Raw genomic sequence first — 18,635 nt, 5'->3', positions numbered from 1 at the left:
CCCTAACCACTGTGTTTGTTGAATACAACTGGATAGACTTCTCCCCTACAGGTCTGTGGTCTCTGCTGAAATGCATTCACATGCATGGAGACAGGGAAACAGCCTCTGTTCCAGGGAAGCAGGGGTAGGGGAGCGGCCGAGACGCCAGACCTGGCTACCTTTGATAAGTTGTTTATTTTCTGAAGCAGACAGTTCTGATAAAGCCGTCGTAATGATGCTCCTTGATCCAACCTAGCACGATAGGAATCTGAGCTGGCCTGTCAGAAGGACAGATTGTTTTGTGGATTTTCTTCCCTTAAAAAAAAAGAAAAATTTAAAAGCAAGGACAGTGCTGTAGAGTGCTGAGCTGTAAGGCTTCGAGGCACACAGCGCGGCCAGCTGTGGGGCAGGCTGGGGGCAAGCTGGGTGTTTGGGGGTGCTGGAAACCAGGTCTGTTTTGCCCAGGTGTGCTCTGTGTGTACAAATGGCCTTTAATGCAGCTGCCCCTGTCCACAGGCCCCAGGCAGTCCTTGAAAGAGAAGCTTGAAAAGTCAAGTTTGGGTCTTCTGCAGCTCGGGCACCACCGAGTCATAGTGAGTGTTGGCCTCCGCAAGGCCTGACAGCACAGAGGACAGAGGTGAGTGGGGGCAGCTGCCTCAGGGGCTAGCCTCGGGGTGGGGGAGGAGGCTAGCCCAGCAAGCTTTTGAGGCACCTCTTTCCTGTGTTGGGTATGAGGTGAGTGCTCAGAGCAGTGGCTCTGTCACCACAGTCGAAGGACAGTGAGGCTAGTGGCGACCTGACGGTTTTGAACCAAACTCTGGGCCAGCCCCTGGTGGAATGGAGTGGTCTCGCCGCATCAGTCTGGAACTCTACTAGGATTGTCACCAGACACGGTTGTGGCTCGCGGCTGCCCACCGCGGCCCGCAGGATGACTGGGCTCTTGGAGCTGTGAGGGAGCACAGGAGCTAAGCTCCTGCTCCTTTCTCTCTGACCGCACTGCTGTGCTTCTCGAGTAGAACTGGGTGGACTCCCCCCTCCCACCGCGGTCTCTGGTGAAATGCGCTGGCATGCTTAGACATGGGGATGGAGGCTCCATTCTAGGGAACCAGGGATGGGAGAGTGGCAGAGATGCCAGACCTGGACACCTTGGGTGAGTTGCGTATTTTCTGAACCAGCTTGGAGCCGGAGCGGCAGGGCCAGGGGTGGGGACCAGGACTGTGACACTGGTACTGAGTCACCATTCCCAAGAGGTTTGGAGAGGTCGGAAGGGGTGTTGAGCCAAAGGGCAAATCCAGATATTCTCTCTCCAAAGCCCGTGCTCCTCTGAACTGTTCTCCAGGGACCTCACTCAGCCCCTTTTGTCCCCAACTTGAACTTTCATATGGCAATCATTTCTTTTCCTACTTGACCTCGTGCAAGGAGAGGATTTAGAGCACTGTAACTCCCATGGGGGTCATCCTTGCTTGGGAGAAGGTTACGTCCACGTGAAGACTCTGCGGCTGCTCAGATGAACCACACACTCTGGAGGTTTTTGGCATTTCGAGGGTCTGGAAGTGGCTGCCTTGCTAGGCCTCCCTTTCCTACCCTCAGCTTCTGCAACTGGCAGGAGCTGCTGTCTTGGGCACCATTAGAGAAGCTCCCCTGCCAAGAGCCAAGGTGTACTGTCCCCAGCATGGAGAATGGTCCTGCCATCAGAGTGGGCTCTCCAGGATGAGGGTGTCTGTGTGATTCACTGTGCTCTTCACATCCTGGACCCTGAAGCCTAATTGAATGAATGAATCCCTGGGGTTGGGTTTCTGGGGCCGATGGAGTCCTGTGATCGTGTGTAGTGGTGGGAGTTTTGCCTAGAACATCCTTGGGTGGTTTAACTCACTAAAATACAGCAAGTGAAGAACAGCAGGCTGCAAGGGCTGACCTAAGTATTTTAGGGAAAGAATTGGACCTCTGAAAAGAGTACGGTTTACTTTGCTCAAAATCTGGGTTGCATGAAATACATTACACTGAGGCTGCCATCTCGCTGGTGGGAAAGGCTGCAGGCAGTCTTGTGGTGCCCTAGCGAGGGTGGACTTTATGTCCTAGCTGGGCAGCCTTGCCCAGGTGGCTTCCATGCTCCATTTTCCTGGGTGATCTCTATAGGTTTTTTTCAGCGAGAAGATTTTGGGTCTAGGGCCAGGGCCCTGACTTGAATCGGGCCTCCTGCCTCTAAGTATCCCTGGGGCAGGGAGCAGCCTAGCTGATCCCTGCCATCTTCCCATCCTCACCCACAGCCTGCTCTGTGGTTGGAACTGGCCTGATGCAATTCAGACCTCATAGCCTGTTTTCTGCTTTTCTGCTTTTCTGCCTTACCAGCCGGACCTTCCCAGAGAACCAAAGCCCGCTAGGAATCCTTTCTGTGATGTTATTTCTCACTCCAGCTCTGAACTTGGTGAAAGCACAGGAGATGAGCTCTTTCTGAGTTAATGCAGCAAAAGGCAGAATGTGTGACCATCAGCACATCACTTTTTTTTTTTTGAGACCGATTTTCACTCACTGTCACCCAGGCTGGAGTGCCGTGGTGCAATCTCGGCTCGCTGCAACCTCTGCCTCCTGGGTTCAAACCATGCTCCTGCCTCAGCACCTTGAGGAGCTGGGACTACGGGTGCCTGCCACCGCGCCTGGATGATTTTTGTATTTTTAGTAGAGATGGAGTTTTGCTGTGTTGGCCGGGCTGGTCTCAAACTCCTGACTGCAAGTGATCTGCTTTCCTCGGCCTCCCAAAGTGCTGGGATTAGCGGCATGAGCCACTGTGCACCGCCAGGCGCAGTAACTCTCTGGGCCTCCATTTCCTCGTCCGTAAAATGGAAATAATACTGACCGTAGGTAGTTGTGAGGAATTGAGATAATGTACATATAGCTGGGTAATGATTCCTGTGAATGGGGAGAGGTGTTCTTCTCCTCCTCCTCGTCATTTTTCTGGGCATGGTGCTTGTCCATAATAGGCTTGAACAAATATTTATTGCCAGCCTGGATGTAGGGATGACCCTGACTTCTGAGGAGGAGATGAGGAGAAGGACCTCTGGTGTCAGGAAAGCCTGAGGAGAGGCCCCAGGGATCATCTCAGCAGGGAGGGTGTTGACCAAAGGAAAAAGTCAAGCTTTTAAAGAATTAAGTTCGTTTTATTCAGAAGTTTCCTGAGGACTCCAGCCTGGGAGGAGTCTTTCGAGAGGTTCTGTCAGGCTGCCCCAAGACTGTTTCAGCTCACAGTTTACACACAGGTAGACAGGCTCGGTATACGCAGGGGGTTATCAAGGCTTACGTGCAAGGGTGCATCTGGTTAGAGACTCCAGAAGCGACATCACTGACCCCTTCAGATGCGATCTTATGCGTAGGAAAAGGCAAGCACTAGGGTCATGGATCTTTTAAGGAATATAGTGACTCAGGAAGAGACGCTGGGGGCCGGGCGCTCTATCCTGTTTTGTCTTCACTTCATCCTCCGGAGGGTTGAGCGTTGTCACAGAGTCAGGGGCTTTGTGGAATTCGGCTGGCCAGCAGAAATGTGCAGACATGGCTTCTTAAGTTTGCAACTTTATCTCACGGGGTGAGCAGGGCTTCCTGGCTGGGGCCATGTCTGTGCCACATGTGACCTGGCACCTCACTGTTGGCTCTTGGCAGGGGGGGTGCCTTATGGCTGAGGGCAAGTTTGGGAGAGGTCCTTCTTTTTTTTTTTGAGATGGAGTTTCACTCTGTTACCCAGTGATCTCGGCTCACTGCAACCTCCTTCCCCCGGGGTTCAAGTGATTGTCATGCCTCAGCCTCCCGAGTAGCTGGGATTATAGGCACGCGCCACCACACCCGGCTAATTTTTGTGGAGTTGAGTTGGAGTTTCGCCATGCTAGCCAGGATGGCTTCAAACTCCTGACCTCAAGGGATCCACCCGCCTCAGCCTCCCAAAGTGCTGGGATTACAGGCGTGAGCCACCGTGCCCAGCCGAGAGATCCTTCTTCAGGGTTCCTCACTTTTTCTTCCTGCTGTACTCCCACGAGGTTCCGTGTGTTTATGCCGAAATGCCTGAGGGAAGGAAGTCCCAGGGACACAGGGAACTTTTCTGGCCCTGCCTATTCCTCCTTCCTGCTCCTGCACAGCTGCTCAGACAGTAGCACCAGAGGGAGAGAGAAGATGGGCAGGTGTCAGCAGCCCTCCAGGAAGACCACCAGGGAGGGGGGCTGACGGGGAGGCAAACGCCTGAGACTCATCACCCCTATTTCCTGAAAACTGAATCTGCATACACCCAAATAGGACAAACCTAAGGACTCTGCAAAAGCAAATAAGCATAGTGGTTGCCTTACGCGCCCGCCACCCTTGACACACACAGCACACTGCTGAGGTCCCATAATTGGAAACCACCCAGATGCCCCACACTGGATCCATCGTGAGGCTTTGTCAATACATAGAAGTGAGTTTTTGAAACAAAAGCAAGTAACAACAACAGCAAATCCATGTTGTAATCACGCACTTGGAATGCAGTTAAAGAGACATCATCAATCGTTGGAGTTCAGTGATCGCCCCCCGGAAGCTTCTAGTCCTGGCCTAGAACTGCAGGCTTTCAGGACTGACAAGAATCCTCTGGCCGATTCGTCCATTTAATAGGTTTAGGAACCGAGCGCCCAGCAGGGGAAGTGATTTGCCCAGGCCCACCCTGGTGGTGGGTGCAGAGCCAGGTAGACCAGTTGCAGGGCCCACTGGCTGCTGCAGACCACAGGGGAGGCTGGTGTGTTTGGCATTGAGAATCTGCACTGCTGCTCGCTGAACTTGACATTGTGGCTTTCCTTATCTCATCTGAATGTATTGAGTATTTTACTTGCATTACCTCATAACATTTTCTCGGCAGCCCTGTTTATATTTGGAAGCCTGCAGCACAGAGAGTTTGAGTGCCTTCTCCAGTGTAGATGCAGAGAACCAGGATTTAAGCTCCGGACTGGGACTGTCTGCCCCCAGAACCTATATTCTTAACCTGTATGTGCACTGTACATTTTTTTTCAAGGCAGTGGAAATCTGATATATTGCTGCCTCCTGGCCTTCCCTCCACCCTAGACCGATGGAAGGTGGCGGAGCTGGGCCTCCCTCCTGGCACCTGTAAGCATTATTGTGCTGCTTCCAGGAAGCCTGTCCCCGGGCCCTGCTCAGCGCTGTGACAGAGGGAGAAGACGGGACAAGTATTAGCATAGAACCTGTGTATACTTTGCAAATTGCTATGCCACCTGTTGTATGGCCATTTTCAGGATAAAATAACTCAGTGGCTTTCATCTCTTTATAAAAATCATAAAAACGCTTTTTTTTTTTTAGTGTGATTCTTGGACCAGCAGCGTTAGCGATCCCTGGGGGCTTGTCAGAAATGCAGTGGCTGACGAGCTCCCAGGTGAGCCCAGGCACAGTGACATCTGAGAAGGGCTGCCCACCTCAGCATGACAGGCTCCTGCAGGCGGGGCCTGGGCCTGGCCCATCACACTGTCACCGTGCCAATTACTATTTTTGCCTTGGCCAAGATCCATGCCACATTGTGTAGGACAGCGATCAGGGACAGCCAAAGGTGGGGGCCCTTACATGGAATGGGAGGGCGCTCCACTTTTTCTGATCTTGAGAAGTAACACAGTTTGCAGCCGGGGGTCATACTGCCCAGCACCTTCGTGCCTGGGTGAGCCACGTCCACGGAGTCTCTGCCACCTCTGGCTCCTGGGTTGGAACACCCCCTCCCATGAGGGTGAAGGGCGCTGGTGCGGATTGATGGAGTCTAACTGGGGACACAAGGTTAAATTCCACACATACCCTCCCTGCCGCCTTTCCCACACCTGGCTGCACTCTGCTCGCTGTCCCGGAAAACACCCCACCATGTGTCCTGGCACTCTCTCCTGTGACCTCCAGCGCCATGAGGCTGTCGGGGACAGTGAGCCGATTCTGAAGGTGACCCTCTGTGGTTTTGTCTTCACTCTGACAAACCCTCCCCCATCCCCCCCACCCCCGCTCCCTTAAATTCAGGGAAAGAGGAGGGTTGTGGAGCTGAGCTGGGGCCTGGCTGCCCAGCTGGGCCAGGTGCATGTGGGTCCTCACCAGCTTTGGCTGCCGGCTCTGTGGTTTCCTGGTTGGGTCCTGGGGCTCCCACTAGAATTGAACTGCTCCCTGTGACAAGTACTGGGGCTTGAACAGCTGCTCCCTCTACAAGCCCCAGTACTGGAGGCTGGGTGCCTTCCAGGGCCAGCGCTAGGAAGGGTGTTGTCCAGAGGGCTGTGGGCATCCCCAGGTCAGGTCACCATCTGGGCCCCTTCCTTCCTAGTCTTTGTCACACTGAGCACTTCGTCACAGATGTGGATTCCTGGGCTTGGGGAGCCAACTTTTCTGCCTCACCTTCTCTGTCTTCACTTCCCTCTAGTGACTGGGCCCGAGGCACGTTCTCCTCCCGCCCCTGCCTTTCTGAACGGTTGTGCCACTGCCTTCATCCAACATTCTCCTAAATTCCTGCCATCTAGCTTTAGAATCTCTTATGCCTTCCTTCATTAATCCATCCATTTGAAACTAACAGTTCTGGGGGCCCTTCTGTGAATCAGATGCCCACGCCAGGCCCTCCAGACATGAAGATGAGCGGGACACTTCCCCTTATCAGTCCCAGAGTCACCTGACTCTGCCCACACCCTCACCCTTTATTTGCCTGTTATTCATTCCCGATTGTATTACACAGAGCCCCTTGTAAACAGATTCTCTCTTTCTCAAACCCTTCTCACACCCAGCCCCTCCTCCTCCTTAGATGACTTCATGTCTTCCTTTCCTGACCTCTCAGAACTGCTGCTGTCCTCGCTTCTGTCCCTCTCTGCTCCCAGCCACATCCCAGGGTTCCCTCTTCCCGGACAGCTCTTCTGCCTGGCAATTCTCCCCTTGCTGACCTCGGGCAAGCGTTTTAGAGCTCTCTGCCTCAGCTTCCTCATCTAGAACATGGAAATCATAGTACCTACCTTGTTTGCTTATTACAAACATTATACTGAATACATTTAAGAACTTACAACAGGGCCTGGCACATAGTAAGTCCTCACTAAATATTAGCCATTATCGTTATTCTCATTCCTCAAAGAAGCCACCCTGCCGTTTTCCCTGTATTTCTTCAGTCTGTCTTTCTCTCATGTATGCATCCCTTTCCCTTGGCGTACAGAATACTCAGCTCTCCCTCTTTGGAAAATATCCTCCCCTCTGTCCTCTGTTTGCCTCTAGGTGCCATCTGGCTCCCTGGCGTCTGTTCTCTGCTGTTCATACGCTCCCCAGGGCCAAGGGTGTGGCTTCCCCGTCTCCATCCCTCTCCTTCTCCAAGGTCACTGTCACCTCTTGCGGCACTTCCAAGTCCTTGCCCTCTACAGCTTTCCACACTGCTGTATTCTCACATGCAGTGATGTACTGGGGGCAGATGACACTGGGTAAGGGGCCGGGAGATGCAAATTGAGGCTGACCATCTGGGGGCAGGGGTCAGAGCTTCCAAGGGTCTGATGAGCAGGTTCTGTGCAGGGTGGGTCAGGACGTTGCCGCCAGAGAGGGATCTCAGTTCCCATCACTGGAGCAGAGTGCGTCTGGTCGCAAAGTTCATGGAGAGCCGAGTGGGTAGCTTAGGTGTGGTTTGAGGACACTGTGGTCAAGGTGAAGGGAAGGGCCATCAGCATTTGGAATTCTTGAGGGTGTCCCTAGGGATGGAGCAGAGAGGAAGGGGATCCCAGGCGGCGAGCAAGGAGCTGCCAGCCGGATGGTGCGATGGGAGGTGGGGAGGACAGCTCTGGAAGTGTGGGGGGCTGTGTGCAGCCCTGGGGACTGGGGAGAGTGGCAGCAGGATGCATCTCTACTTCGTGGAGGGGTACTGAGGTACTGTCTGGGTGTCATTCTGTCCAGATCCAAGTGTTTGAGTGAGAGGCAGAGAACGGGCAGTCGATATTAGTAGGAGGCTTGGAGGGCATCACTGGGGAGAAGGCCCAGCTTGGATGGGGATGAGGAAGAGGGGGAGGTAGGCTGGAGGGAACTTGGTGGGACACATCTCGTGCCCAGAGGGCCAGGGCACGAGAGGCTGGAGGAGGCACAGTGGGCCTGCAGAACTAGCTGGAAGGCCCGTGTAGCTCAGTGGCTCTGCAGGAGCTCCCACAGCAGAAAAGGCCCCCATGGCCTGACTCGCTACGGGCCTCTCGGCTGTCAGTGTGAGGGACAGGTGGCCGGGGTCCTCCAACGCCCTGCATCTTCCTGGCTCCTCTTCTTCCACGCCCTAAATGTCAGAACTCTCCAGAATTCCGTACCACCTGCTTGGTGCTCTCTGCTTATGGCCGGTACCTCCAGCCACCTGCTGGGCTCCTCCACATTGCTGTTCTCTGGGCACCTGTTTGGGACTCAACATGGAATTCCCTTTTCCTCCGCCCCACACCCACTCCTCCCAGCTCCGCCATGGCTGTTTCTGGCTCCGCCGTCTGAGTAGGGATCCAGGCTTAAAGCCCCTCCACTGCCTCTTCCCCCTCATCTCTGTCCCTTGCCCCTCCCAGGGCCGAGGCTCCGGGGCTGCATGTGACTGAGTGAGGGTGAGTTCCCCAGTCCCTGCCCATCTGTTTTTACAGCTCCAGGGCTGCAGATGCTGGGGGAAGGTCACGTGACTGACAACCCCAGGCAGGCTGGGCACGGGGAGCGGAGGGCCAGGAGAAGCCTTCGAGAAGGGCATGGCACATCCTGAGGATACGGGGCAGCAACCTTGGGGTCCTGGTGGTGCCGTGCCATGTGGAGGCCTCAGGCCTGCCAGCTGCCCTTCTGCAGGGCTCTGGAGAAACGGACGCCTGCAGGGGGCTGAAGGGCTGCCCTGCACCAGGTCAGAGGCCTTGCCATCAGGGCCATTCACCCCCTACGACGTCCAGCCCCAGGCCGCGCTTTACAGGGCCCCACAGAGATGGGCTGGTCATAGCTGGTACAGCTTTGGGAACGAGACTGACACTATGGGTCACCTTTATCATTCCAGACTCCAGGAGGCTGGCTGGGTGGACGAGGGCTGATCGCTGAGGAGCCGCCACAACCTAAGCCTGGGCAGGGAGGAGCATTTGCAGCATCAGCTCTGCAGAGGCTGAGCACCTACAGGGACAGGCAGGGCTGCTCCTCAGGGCACGCTGCTGGGCAGGGTCAGCGCAGAGTCCCGGACCAGCCCAGTGGGGGCATCTTCCCCATTCCATCCATGTTATTGCGGCACTGCCTCTGGGTTGAGATTGCAGGAGATGTTGCAAGGGGGAGCTTTTGGACATCTCTCTGCTGGGGTCCCCGTGCCGCCCCCTACATCATCTCCCATCCCTCTGCTTTTCCCTTCCCCAGCCACTGACACCTGCCTTTCCCTGGACAGAGGCTGCCCCGCCCACTGTGGGTCATTCTGTCTCCACCCACTGAGAGCAGCAGGGGCTGGGGTTTTGCTGAGGGCAGTTCTGGGCCCCACAGGTGTCCTCTGAGTCCCTGGACAGTGAGAACAAGGTACCAGTGAGCTGTGGTGTTTTTCTCCATCTTCATTGCTGGAGAGTGCTGTGGGTTGAAGTGTGTCCCTCAGAATTCCTCTGCAGAAATCCTAGCCCCCAGCACTTCTGAGTGTCACCTTTTGTGGGAATGGGGTTGTTGCAGATATAAAGAGTTGAGATGAGGTTCTGCTGGGGTAGGGCAGGCCCGGATCCTTATGGCTGGCGTCTTGATAGAAAGGGGCAATGTGGACACAGAGGCACGTGCACGCAGGGAGAACGCCATGTGAATATGAAGGCAGAGAGCAGGGTGATGCCTCTCCCAGGATCCCAGACTGCCAGCAAGCCACCAGGAGCGAGGGGAGCGCCTGGAACAGACCCTCCCTCCTAGCCCAGACAGAGCCAGCTGCCAGCACTGTGATCTTGGACTTCCAGCCCGCCGAACGGAGAGGCAGCACCTTTCTGCTGCTGAAGCCGCCCCATTGGTGGTACTTTGCGATGGCAGCCCTAGCGAACTAACAGAGCCCAGTGGTCTTTAGGTAAAAATGAGGCCCACTGTGCAGGCTGTAACAGGGGCAACTCTCCAGAATGCTTGGCTTGTCTAGTAGCCACCCCAGTGCCCTGTCACGACTGTCCCTCCTCCCACCGAAGGCCCCTGCGTGACATAATTCAAAACGACTCAGACTCCGGGAACACGCGCGGTCGAGTTCCAATGTCTGTGCCGCAGTCGGCCCCGTGACCCCGTGCGGGCTTCTTCCTCTCTGGAACGGGTGGGTGTGGGGTGGGTGGTAACACTGTCCTGATTAAAGCTGTGCACATCTGCTCAGCAGATGTCACCTCTTTTCTCACTTCCCCGAGCCCCCAGACCTTCCTCCAGGCCCTCTTCCTTCCCTGAACCTCTGTTCTCTCAGGCTGTGCAGATGGTGCAGAGATGCCAGCAGTTGCAAAGCAGGGCCCTGGCAGCCTCCAGCGTGCGGGGAGAGGCTCCAGGAGGCGGAGGCCGTGGTGCTGGTTCTTTCTGGAGGGGAGGAGCTGTGGCTCATGTTGGAGGGAGGGCCTGGAGGGGAAGCCCTCTGCGGTGTGCCTCCCCACAGGGTCTCTGTGGGGCCCGGTGCCCCAGCAGTCCTCTCCTGTCCTGCCAGGCAGCCTGGTTGCAGCACTGAGGGCCAACCCCAGTGCCCACTCAGCCTGCAAAGCAACAGCCGCGCCTCGACCTCGCTTGCCCCTTCCAAGTTCTGGGGATGTTGTGGTTTGGCAACTCAGTTGCTGGCCTTCAAAGAGGGCTGGGGTTTGAAAACAAGCACATGTTTCTTAGGAGGTCCCACAGACGAGGGTGAGCACATGCCTGCCACCTGCTTAGTGTCCCTCCTATTTCCCCAGGCAAGTCCTGCCAGCCACTCGGGCACCCAGCTCTCCTCCAAGTGCTAGTGTGGTGAGCTTGGAGGACGTGGGCCCTGCTGGAGGGGAAAGCACAGCCTCTGCGCCTCCTGGCAGGCTGGCTTTGTCTGAGCGGTGCTGCCTCGCCTCACCACAGGGCTTGTTTTGGGTAGGTGGGAGGCAGCAGTTCCCTTTTCTGGGCAGAGGCATTTGTGGAAAAGCATAAATTATTTGCCTGGAAATGTGGAGTTGCCCTTTCAGCAGCGTGACCCTGGACAGGCCAGTTTTTGAGCCTCAGCTTCCTCATCTGCACAATGGGTATATGAACCAGGAGTCCCTCAGTCTTCAGGCTCTGGTAGACCGTGGCTCTATGAGGAGCATCTCTTAGTCCTACTGCAAATGGCCTGTGTGACGTTAGGAACACTTATTCTTTTTTCTTGAGACGGAGTTTCACTCTTGTTGCCCAGGCTGGAGTGCAATGGTGCAATCTCAACTCACTGCAACCTCTGCCTCCCGGGTTCAAACGATTCTCCTGCCTCAGCCTCCTGAGTAGCTGGGATTACAGGCGCACGCCACCATGCCCGGCTAAGTTTTGTATTTTTAGTAGAGACGGGGTTTTGTCATGTTGGCCAGGCTGGTCTCGAACTCCTGACCTCAGGTGATCCGCCCACCTCGGCCTCCCAAAGTGCTGGGATTACAGGTGCGAGCCACCGCTCCCGGCCTGGGAACACTTCTTACCTTCTCTGTCCAGTAGAGCTGGAGACCTCAGCCTGCTTTAGGTCTTGTTATCAAGAGATCCTAATAAGGGTCAGTTCTGAGCTGGCAGTAAGGACTGCTCTAGGGACACGGGTACTTAGAGCTCCGTGGTGGTCCTACAACTCCAGGATGTCCATGTCTTCTCCAGTTTGATACCACAGGGCAGTGGTTCCCCTAAAGGACTGAAGAGCTCGAGACTGCCCCACAGAACTTCAGCCTTAGCTCCAGGTAGGACCAAGATGCAGGGTCATGGGTCTGAAATTAGCCGACATCACCCAGCCAGGGCGCAGGGTGTCCGGAGAGCCTCTGGGCCTGGGTGGACTTGAAATGTCCCTGGATCACCCCAGAGGACCTGGCTGGTGTGGATGAAGTGCTGGACAGCTGCTGAGTGTTGCTTTTCCCTCCTGGACTCTCATCTTGGATGACTGGAAAACAAGGTCCCTTCCACGCCAAACGAGCTCATTGGGCCAGGCACACATGCATGGGTATGAGGGAAATCACGTTTCCGGGTTCCAGGCCTCACTGACTGCACAGCCTCTGGGCCGGGTGCTTCCTCTGGGAGGAGGCCCAGATGCTGGCCCTTCAGTGACTGCTCTCAAGGCTGAAGGACGCCCCAGAGGTACGCCTTGCGAGGCCGTGTGCTGAATCTCAGACCTCAAATGGAGCCTTCTTTGCCTGACAGTCTACAGCCTGAACTTAGCCTGAGTCAGCACAGGCTTCTAGAACCTTCCTGCAGAGTCTTGTGCAGACAGCCCAGGCTCAGCATTTTCCCATCCTCGCTTCCTCCCTCTTGGAGGTGGTGGTGGTGAACTCGACCTGAGGAGCTGAGAAAGGGGCAGGAGAAAAAAAATCACGAAGAGTCGGAGGCAAAAGGGCCTGTGGTTTGGAGTGGTGGGAGGAGGAGGTGGGAGGGCTGATGGCCACGTGTGCCCTTTACTGGGGAGGACGAGCCCTTAGATTCTCCAGCCCGGCTCTCTCGAGAGCCCTTAGCAGAGCGGCCTTGGTTGTGATCATCAGGGAAAGACTTGAAGCGAGGAAGTAACTGTGCTTTTCCAAATGACTTCAGATGCCCTTTTCCATAAAGATGGGTTTTCTTCATGAAAACTAGTTGACTAGCTTTTAATAGTCTTTTTTATGATTATTAAGTTATATTCAATGTTAAAAATTTAGAAAATGCATTTATGACTGGAAGAATGTTCTTAAAGCTTCTTAATTTTTATTTTCCCAAAGGGCCTCCTTGACTTCTGAAAAGACCCAATATTTACCAGGGACTGTCTGCGTGGGGGCTTGTTTTCCAGTTGAAATTATTTCTAAAGGGGTGAAAAAGGCTTATCCCCTCTACCGTGGGTCTCCAGGTGACTATGGAAGACAGGAACAAGACTCTCCACAGGCCGGACGGTTAGACAATCCAGATAGTTAGAGCAAAGTGGCTGGGTTGTGGGCATGAGGGGGGGAGGGGTTAGTCAGAGAAACTTCTGGATGCTCCAGGACTCAGAACCAAATACCTGCATTTATACAAAGGTTTCCTGCAGCCTCTGCACGTGCCACAGACAGTGCCCCTGAATATACGTTGTCAGCCCCAGACTCCTGTGAAGAAGGGCAGGGGTCTGGGACACTCACTGCCCTGCCTCGTAGAGGCCTCAGGTCTGAGCCCTAAGTTCCTAATGTGCCAGCATCACCCGATCACCCTGTCCCCTGGCCTCGGCCGGTGCCACCCAAATTCAGAAATAAGATTGAAATCCAAGCGCACCTCCTTGGAACCCTAGCCCGTGGAATCCGAGGCAGTCAGATCAAAGGGACCTCAGAGATCAGAAGCCCTGCCTGCGACAAACTGAGGACCTCTGTTCCCTTTCTGCAAAAATGCAGGCAGTAATGTCCCTGGGCTGCCAGGGAGAGGGAGCCGAGGTGGAGAGTGTGAGAGGGCTTCGTGACCCACGCTGTGCTGTTGCGTTGGGGGGATTGGCGGTACTGCCTGTTTAGGCCATTTTGCCATGGGATAGAAGTTCCTCGCACGAGCTCCAATACTGTCCACACCCCGTACCATTCCTTCTACCCCGAGGCTGATGCGATTCCTCTACGAGAACCAGCAGACACAGAAGCCAGAGAAACCCACCATTCCCTTAGGTGACTGCTCTGTCTTTCTGGGTTCATTTGGGGATAGTAGGGACGCCTTGAACAAGGGCCCCCTGAACATCGCTTTGGGTGGGGACAGTCATTGTTCCTTTTCAGGCTGTGTTTCTGCTGCAGCACACACACGGGGCAGCTTGCACGCCCAATTTCCTGTCCCTCCTTTCCTTCTCAGGCTGATGCCCAGACCAGTCCTTTCTGACCATCATCAAATACCTCTTCATCCTGATTGAGTGGTGGTGCTGAGCATTGTCCCCAAAGAGCCACTTGTGCTGTGGCCTTCTCCTGGAGGCATATTCTGTCCTCTTCTCTCTGCCTGCGGCCCCCATCTCCTGAGCCCAGCGAGCTCAGTGCTAGTTCACTGTTTGCTCCTCCTTGCTGCAGACACAGAAGATTTGGGAGCGTTCCTGCCGAGGTTGGTAAGGATACCTGGAACAGTGGGCGGCCTCTTTGCTCCCCACTTGCTAGGAGTAAAGCCGTTTAAAAAGACACCTGAGCCTCTCCGGGTTCCTGCTCCTCACTCAACCCCACAGTAGATCTGGTGGGGAGGTTGAGGGCTCAGTGAATCTGCAGGTGCAGCATCGTGTCCTCAGTGTCCTGCCCCCTGCTTCCACCCGGTGTCGACAGCTGCACGGTCCACCCCACGCCTGCCTTTCCATCGTTCCTCATCAGCCCTGTGATCTTTCCTGTGGCCCTGCTGTGCTGGTGCCCTGTGAGGTCCTGTGGACACAAGAGACTGCACGGGCCACACCCCCAGCTGGGTGAGTCCTCTCCCTCCTGGGTACTCTGGACAGTAAAGAAAGATGGACACGTGGGCTCCGTGGAGCATGAGGTAGTCCAGGACCTCGGCGGCCACAGGTCCTGCCTCCCTGCTTCTCGTGCCCTCCCTCCCTTTGGGTCTCTGCTCCACCTCGGTAAACGCTTCGTTCCCACCCCTCGAAGGGTAAATCGAGCTCCTTGGTGGTAAAGCACCCACTGCCCCTAGTCAGAGGGTCCCTCCTCTCTGATGTCATGGTGCCCTGGTCTGCCTGGTAGAATTTTAGCTGCTTTATAACCTGGTCCTGAAATGAACCACTGGGAAGAAATAGGGTAAAATGAACACACAGCTGCCACACTGCATCCCAACCCTGTGTGACCCTATCACCGCAGACTTTTGTGGCAAGATGACAGCATCTCAGTTTGCTTGAGAAGCTTATTTTTGCCAAGGCTGTTACCACCAGGCAGGCACCAGAGCTCGGTTCCACTCACAGCAGAACACAAGCAGTGGCCCTGTGGATTCCCCTGTAAGAATGTCCGGAGGGAATGCTTCCCCCTCGCCAGGATCAGACTCTTGGCACTCTCTGTGATACGTGAGACCTTGAGGAAGGTTCCTCCGTTCCCAGAAGCGGAGCAATGTGCTGGTGCTGAGAAGTGGCCCCTCAGGGCCACCCTGGGCAGGGTCTCCGGTTTTATTCCCCCGTACCTTCTGCTTCATCACGCAGATCCTATCCTGGGTTTGGGTGGGGAAGTCTCTCTGCGGGGGCCGGTGGGGCAGCATCTCCAGGCTGGGAGGCAGAGCTGGTTCTGCCACGATGTGTCCTCCCCGTGAGGACCCACTCCCACGCCTGTCCCTGCCACAGTGGGCCTCCTGATGGTCCTCCTTCCTCCAGGTCACCGGCACGATTGCTGTGGCCCCTCCTCTGTGGGTGTGGGCTTGGACGCCTCTCCCCTCCACCTGCACACCCCTTGCAGCACACATGAGGCTTAGCTATTAAAGAGGCTGGAGGACAGTGCAGCGCTTTAACCCTGGCCCTCACAGGGAGGTGTCTAGGTCTTTCTTCTCCCCTCCAGATGGAAGCATTTGGGTAGAGGACCTAGAAGAGGCTAACACTCCCTGAACTATGAACCTAGATTGGTTTCTAAATCTGCTGAGAGAAAAATTGAACTTGAAGTGACATTCCTTCTAAAGTAGACATCATCCTACATGGCTCTTCTACAGCTGTCTTTCACCCTAACCCATGGTGTGCCCTGGGCTGTCGCAGGCCCCCAGCCCCTGCCCAGCCTTTCTGAAGTGCCAGGCTTGGGGCTCAATGAATGAGCCTTGTTCTAAAGCAGAAAACAGTTCTGTTCCAGTCAGGGTTCAGCTGCCTGCGTCTTGATGAGATCTCTGTTCAGGATTGTGTCCCCTGCTTCTCTCTCCCTTCTCCTTTTCAAGATCACAGGTGAAGACAAGGGGGTGGAAAGTTCTACCTAGATTGCTGCTATCTTAAGAATGTGGACTTTGGAGCCAGATTGTCTGGGTTTAGTCCCTGCGTCTGCTGCTTACTAGGTGTGTGACTTTGGGCAAATACCTTGACCTCTCTGTGCGTCCGTTTTCTTGGCTGTGAAATGATGTATCATCTCAGAGCACCCATCCCCTGGGGTTGTGTGGGGAGTAAGTAAGCCGGTCTAGTATGGCGCCTGGTACATCCTCAGTCAATAATATCAATGTTGGCTGTGGTGAGGACGTAGCAGAGGATGGTAGAAAGAATCTGAGGCTTGGGGTCCAGAGCCCTGGGTTCAGGTCCCAGCTCTGCCACTTGCTGGTGTAGTGATGCGGATTCTGCACCCCGGAATGTGGCAGTGTTTGCATGCAGGCTGGCTGTGAAGACCCAGGGCAGCAGGCCGGCAGGCTGGTTCCCCTGCACACCGGACTAACTCTGTCCTCTCTCTCCACAGGCACACATTCTGGCAGTTCCGCCATGAGAACCCCCAGACCCGGGTTGGGGGCCCGCCCCCCGAGGGGCTGCCGGGCTTCAACAGCGGGGTGATGTTGCTGAACCTGGAGGCCATGCGCCAGTCCCCGCTCTACAGCCGCCTGCTGGAGCCGGCGCAGGTGCAGCAGCTGGCCGACAAGTACCACTTCCGCGGCCACCTCGGGGACCAGGACTTCTTCACCATGATCGGCATGGAGCACCCCAAGCTCTTCCATGTGCTGGACTGTACCTGGAACCGGCAGCTGTGCACCTGGTGGAGGGACCATGGCTACAGTGACGTCTTCGAGGCCTATTTCAGGTGTGAGGGCCACGTCAAGATCTACCACGGGAACTGCAACACTCCCATCCCGGAGGACTAGGCGCTCCCCGTGCCTTGCCCCCGGGGCCTCCAGATCTGGGGGAAGGACAGGGTTCCTTGGGACAGACCCAAGGGCAGTGTCTGACCCGCTAGAGAGACACCGCAGGGAAGTCCTGTGATTAAGGTGCTGAGACCTCCTGCCGGGCAGGTCACTGTGCTGAGGCCACCCGCCAAGGACTGGCCTGTGCACTGCTGGTGCTTGGGACCTTATTCCTCCAGGGAGCAGGCGACACAAAGGACACGCATGTCCAGTGGGCTGGGAAGCAAGCACTTGAAGAGAAGGAAGGGGAGAAAGGGTCCCCCTTGCTGTCTGCCTCTGAGGAATGGAAATCCTTTAGACCCGGCCTTTTTTGGACCAATATAAATTTAATTTAAATTGACAGCCTTCCATTTTTCGAGAAAGTACAAACAGAACTGCTTTAGCACCCATCGAGCCCCAAACGGGTAAGGTAAGCCAAGGTTTTAATGACCAGCCCAGTATCTAAGCTTCCAAACGAATGCCAGCCCATCACATACTCACCCTGGGAGGCTGCTGCACGCGCATTCTCCTGATGCTCACGTCACTTGGTGTAGGTTTCAGGATCGCCTCTTTGAGGAAGGACTTCAGGACCAACTGGGGCCTGCATAAGAAAACTTATCTCATTATTAGAGTACTCACAGCTTGTATCTCCCAGCTACATCCTAGAACCCCATTGTCCTTTATTCCACCAAACCAGCTCCAGGTGACCAGACTCTACTCAGAAAGCAAATTCGTCATCAAAGAACAGAGACTGGCCACCACAAGGACATGCAGGAGAACTGTCGGGACCAGGAAGACTCATTCCAAAAAGCCCAGGCCGGGCACAGTCGTCAAGCCTGTAATCCCAACACTTTGGGAGACCGAGGTGGGGGTATCGATTGAGCCTCGGAGGTCGAGATCAGCCTGGGAAACACAGGGAGGCCCCCATCGCTACAAAATATTTTAAAAATTAGCCAGGTGTGGTGGCTTGTGCTTGTTGTCCCGGCTACTTGGGAGGCTGAAGTGGGAGGGTGGCTTGAGTCCAGGAGTTCACTGCACTGAGCTGTGATCACACCACTGCACTCCAGCCTGGACGACAGAGTGAGACGTCCATCTCAAAAAAAAAAAAAAAACCAAAAAGGAACCCAGCAATTCCCAAGTGTGACCATGTGGGCTTGGAAGACATGTCACTCATGGGCTAGTAAGCATTCTAGTTTCTTTGTTTAAAAAATCCCCTTATCATACCACGTTAGACCGTAGACCTTAGCAGAAATTAAAGCGTCATTTCTTTTGATGGGGCCTCCTGTACGTAGGCTGCAGACGTGAAAGCCCCAGGGGTCCATTTGTATCAATTTTCATCTTGTTTTGTTTTGATTTCATTTACGTTTTTCTTTTTCCCATGAGTGAGGATAGCCAATAAATCATCTTTGAGAACATGGTGATTCATGTTGTTTGTTCTCTGATCACAGTTTCAGCTGCATGAAGGCTCTGAATCAAGTGTGTACTCAATGCCATTGGAATCCCCACCTCCCCTGATGAAGATGAGTGCTTACAGGAGATCCTAAGGACCAAGGAGAGGGCACATCTGAGAGGGTGTCAGAGAGGGTAGTATTGGCATGTTTGGTTCAAAGCAAGGAATCATTTCATTCTAGGTATTGGCAGGTCCACCTGCACTGGGGAGCAAAAGCATCCCCATTTCTTCTCATCCCTCTTACCCTAGACTGCCCAGTTACATCCTGCCCTGAAGAGGTGGAGCAGATATCTTTCCCAGCCCTCTGCTGTGACAGAATTGGTCTGTTCTCTCACCTACTTGATTTCCTATTTATAGGTAACAA

General features: G+C 54.8%; 1 protein-coding gene across 5 annotated transcripts in view, besides 5 other annotated features; it reads left to right on the top strand.

The window, feature by feature from the left end:
* XXYLT1 (xyloside xylosyltransferase 1) overlaps positions 1 to 18,234 on the top strand; it is a 202,876-nt gene extending 184,642 nt beyond the window's left edge. For all 5 annotated transcript variants that reach the window (NM_152531.5, XM_005269286.6, NM_001308069.2 and 2 more), the window contains one exon: positions 16,407 to 18,234. In NM_152531.5, coding sequence (NP_689744.3) covers positions 16,407 to 16,803 — 397 coding nt within the window. In that variant the 3' untranslated portion in view covers positions 16,804 to 18,234. The remainder of the gene's footprint in view (positions 1 to 16,406) is intronic.
* Positions 4,033 to 4,202: an enhancer, noted in NCBI's record as "experimental_67503 CRE fragment used in MPRA reporter constructs". NCBI's record gives its function as "activates a minimal promoter by MPRAs in K562 erythroleukemia cells, with activity observed for both the introgressed and non-introgressed 3:194803130 variant alleles {active_cell/tissue: K562}" and the evidence as "EXISTENCE:reporter gene assay evidence [ECO:0000049][PMID:34662402]".
* Positions 6,094 to 6,173: an enhancer, noted in NCBI's record as "active region_21037". NCBI's record gives its function as "activates an Ori minimal core promoter by ATAC-STARR-seq in GM12878 lymphoblastoid cells {active_cell/tissue: GM12878}" and the evidence as "EXISTENCE:reporter gene assay evidence [ECO:0000049][PMID:35858748]".
* Positions 6,978 to 7,494: an enhancer, noted in NCBI's record as "H3K4me1 hESC enhancer chr3:194799753-194800269 (GRCh37/hg19 assembly coordinates)". NCBI's record gives its function as "activates a minimal SCP1, AML or CMV promoter by ChIP-STARR-seq in primed H9 embryonic stem cells {active_cell/tissue: H9 hESC(primed)}" and the evidence as "EXISTENCE:reporter gene assay evidence [ECO:0000049][PMID:30033119]".
* Positions 12,914 to 13,414: an enhancer, noted in NCBI's record as "H3K4me1 hESC enhancer chr3:194793833-194794333 (GRCh37/hg19 assembly coordinates)". NCBI's record gives its function as "activates a minimal SCP1, AML or CMV promoter by ChIP-STARR-seq in naive H9 embryonic stem cells {active_cell/tissue: H9 hESC(naive)}" and the evidence as "EXISTENCE:reporter gene assay evidence [ECO:0000049][PMID:30033119]".
* Positions 16,987 to 18,186: an enhancer, noted in NCBI's record as "BRD4-independent group 4 enhancer chr3:194789061-194790260 (GRCh37/hg19 assembly coordinates)". NCBI's record gives its function as "activates an origin of replication core promoter dependent on BRD2, P300/CBP, MED14 and CDK7 cofactors, and independent of BRD4, by STARR-seq in HCT116 cells {active_cell/tissue: HCT116}" and the evidence as "EXISTENCE:reporter gene assay evidence [ECO:0000049][PMID:35650434]".

The sequence above is a fragment of the Homo sapiens genome, chromosome 3, assembly GCF_000001405.40.
Source record: "Homo sapiens chromosome 3, GRCh38.p14 Primary Assembly".
NCBI lineage: Eukaryota > Metazoa > Chordata > Mammalia > Primates > Hominidae > Homo > Homo sapiens.
This window is presented reverse-complemented; position numbering and strand designations above follow the sequence as displayed.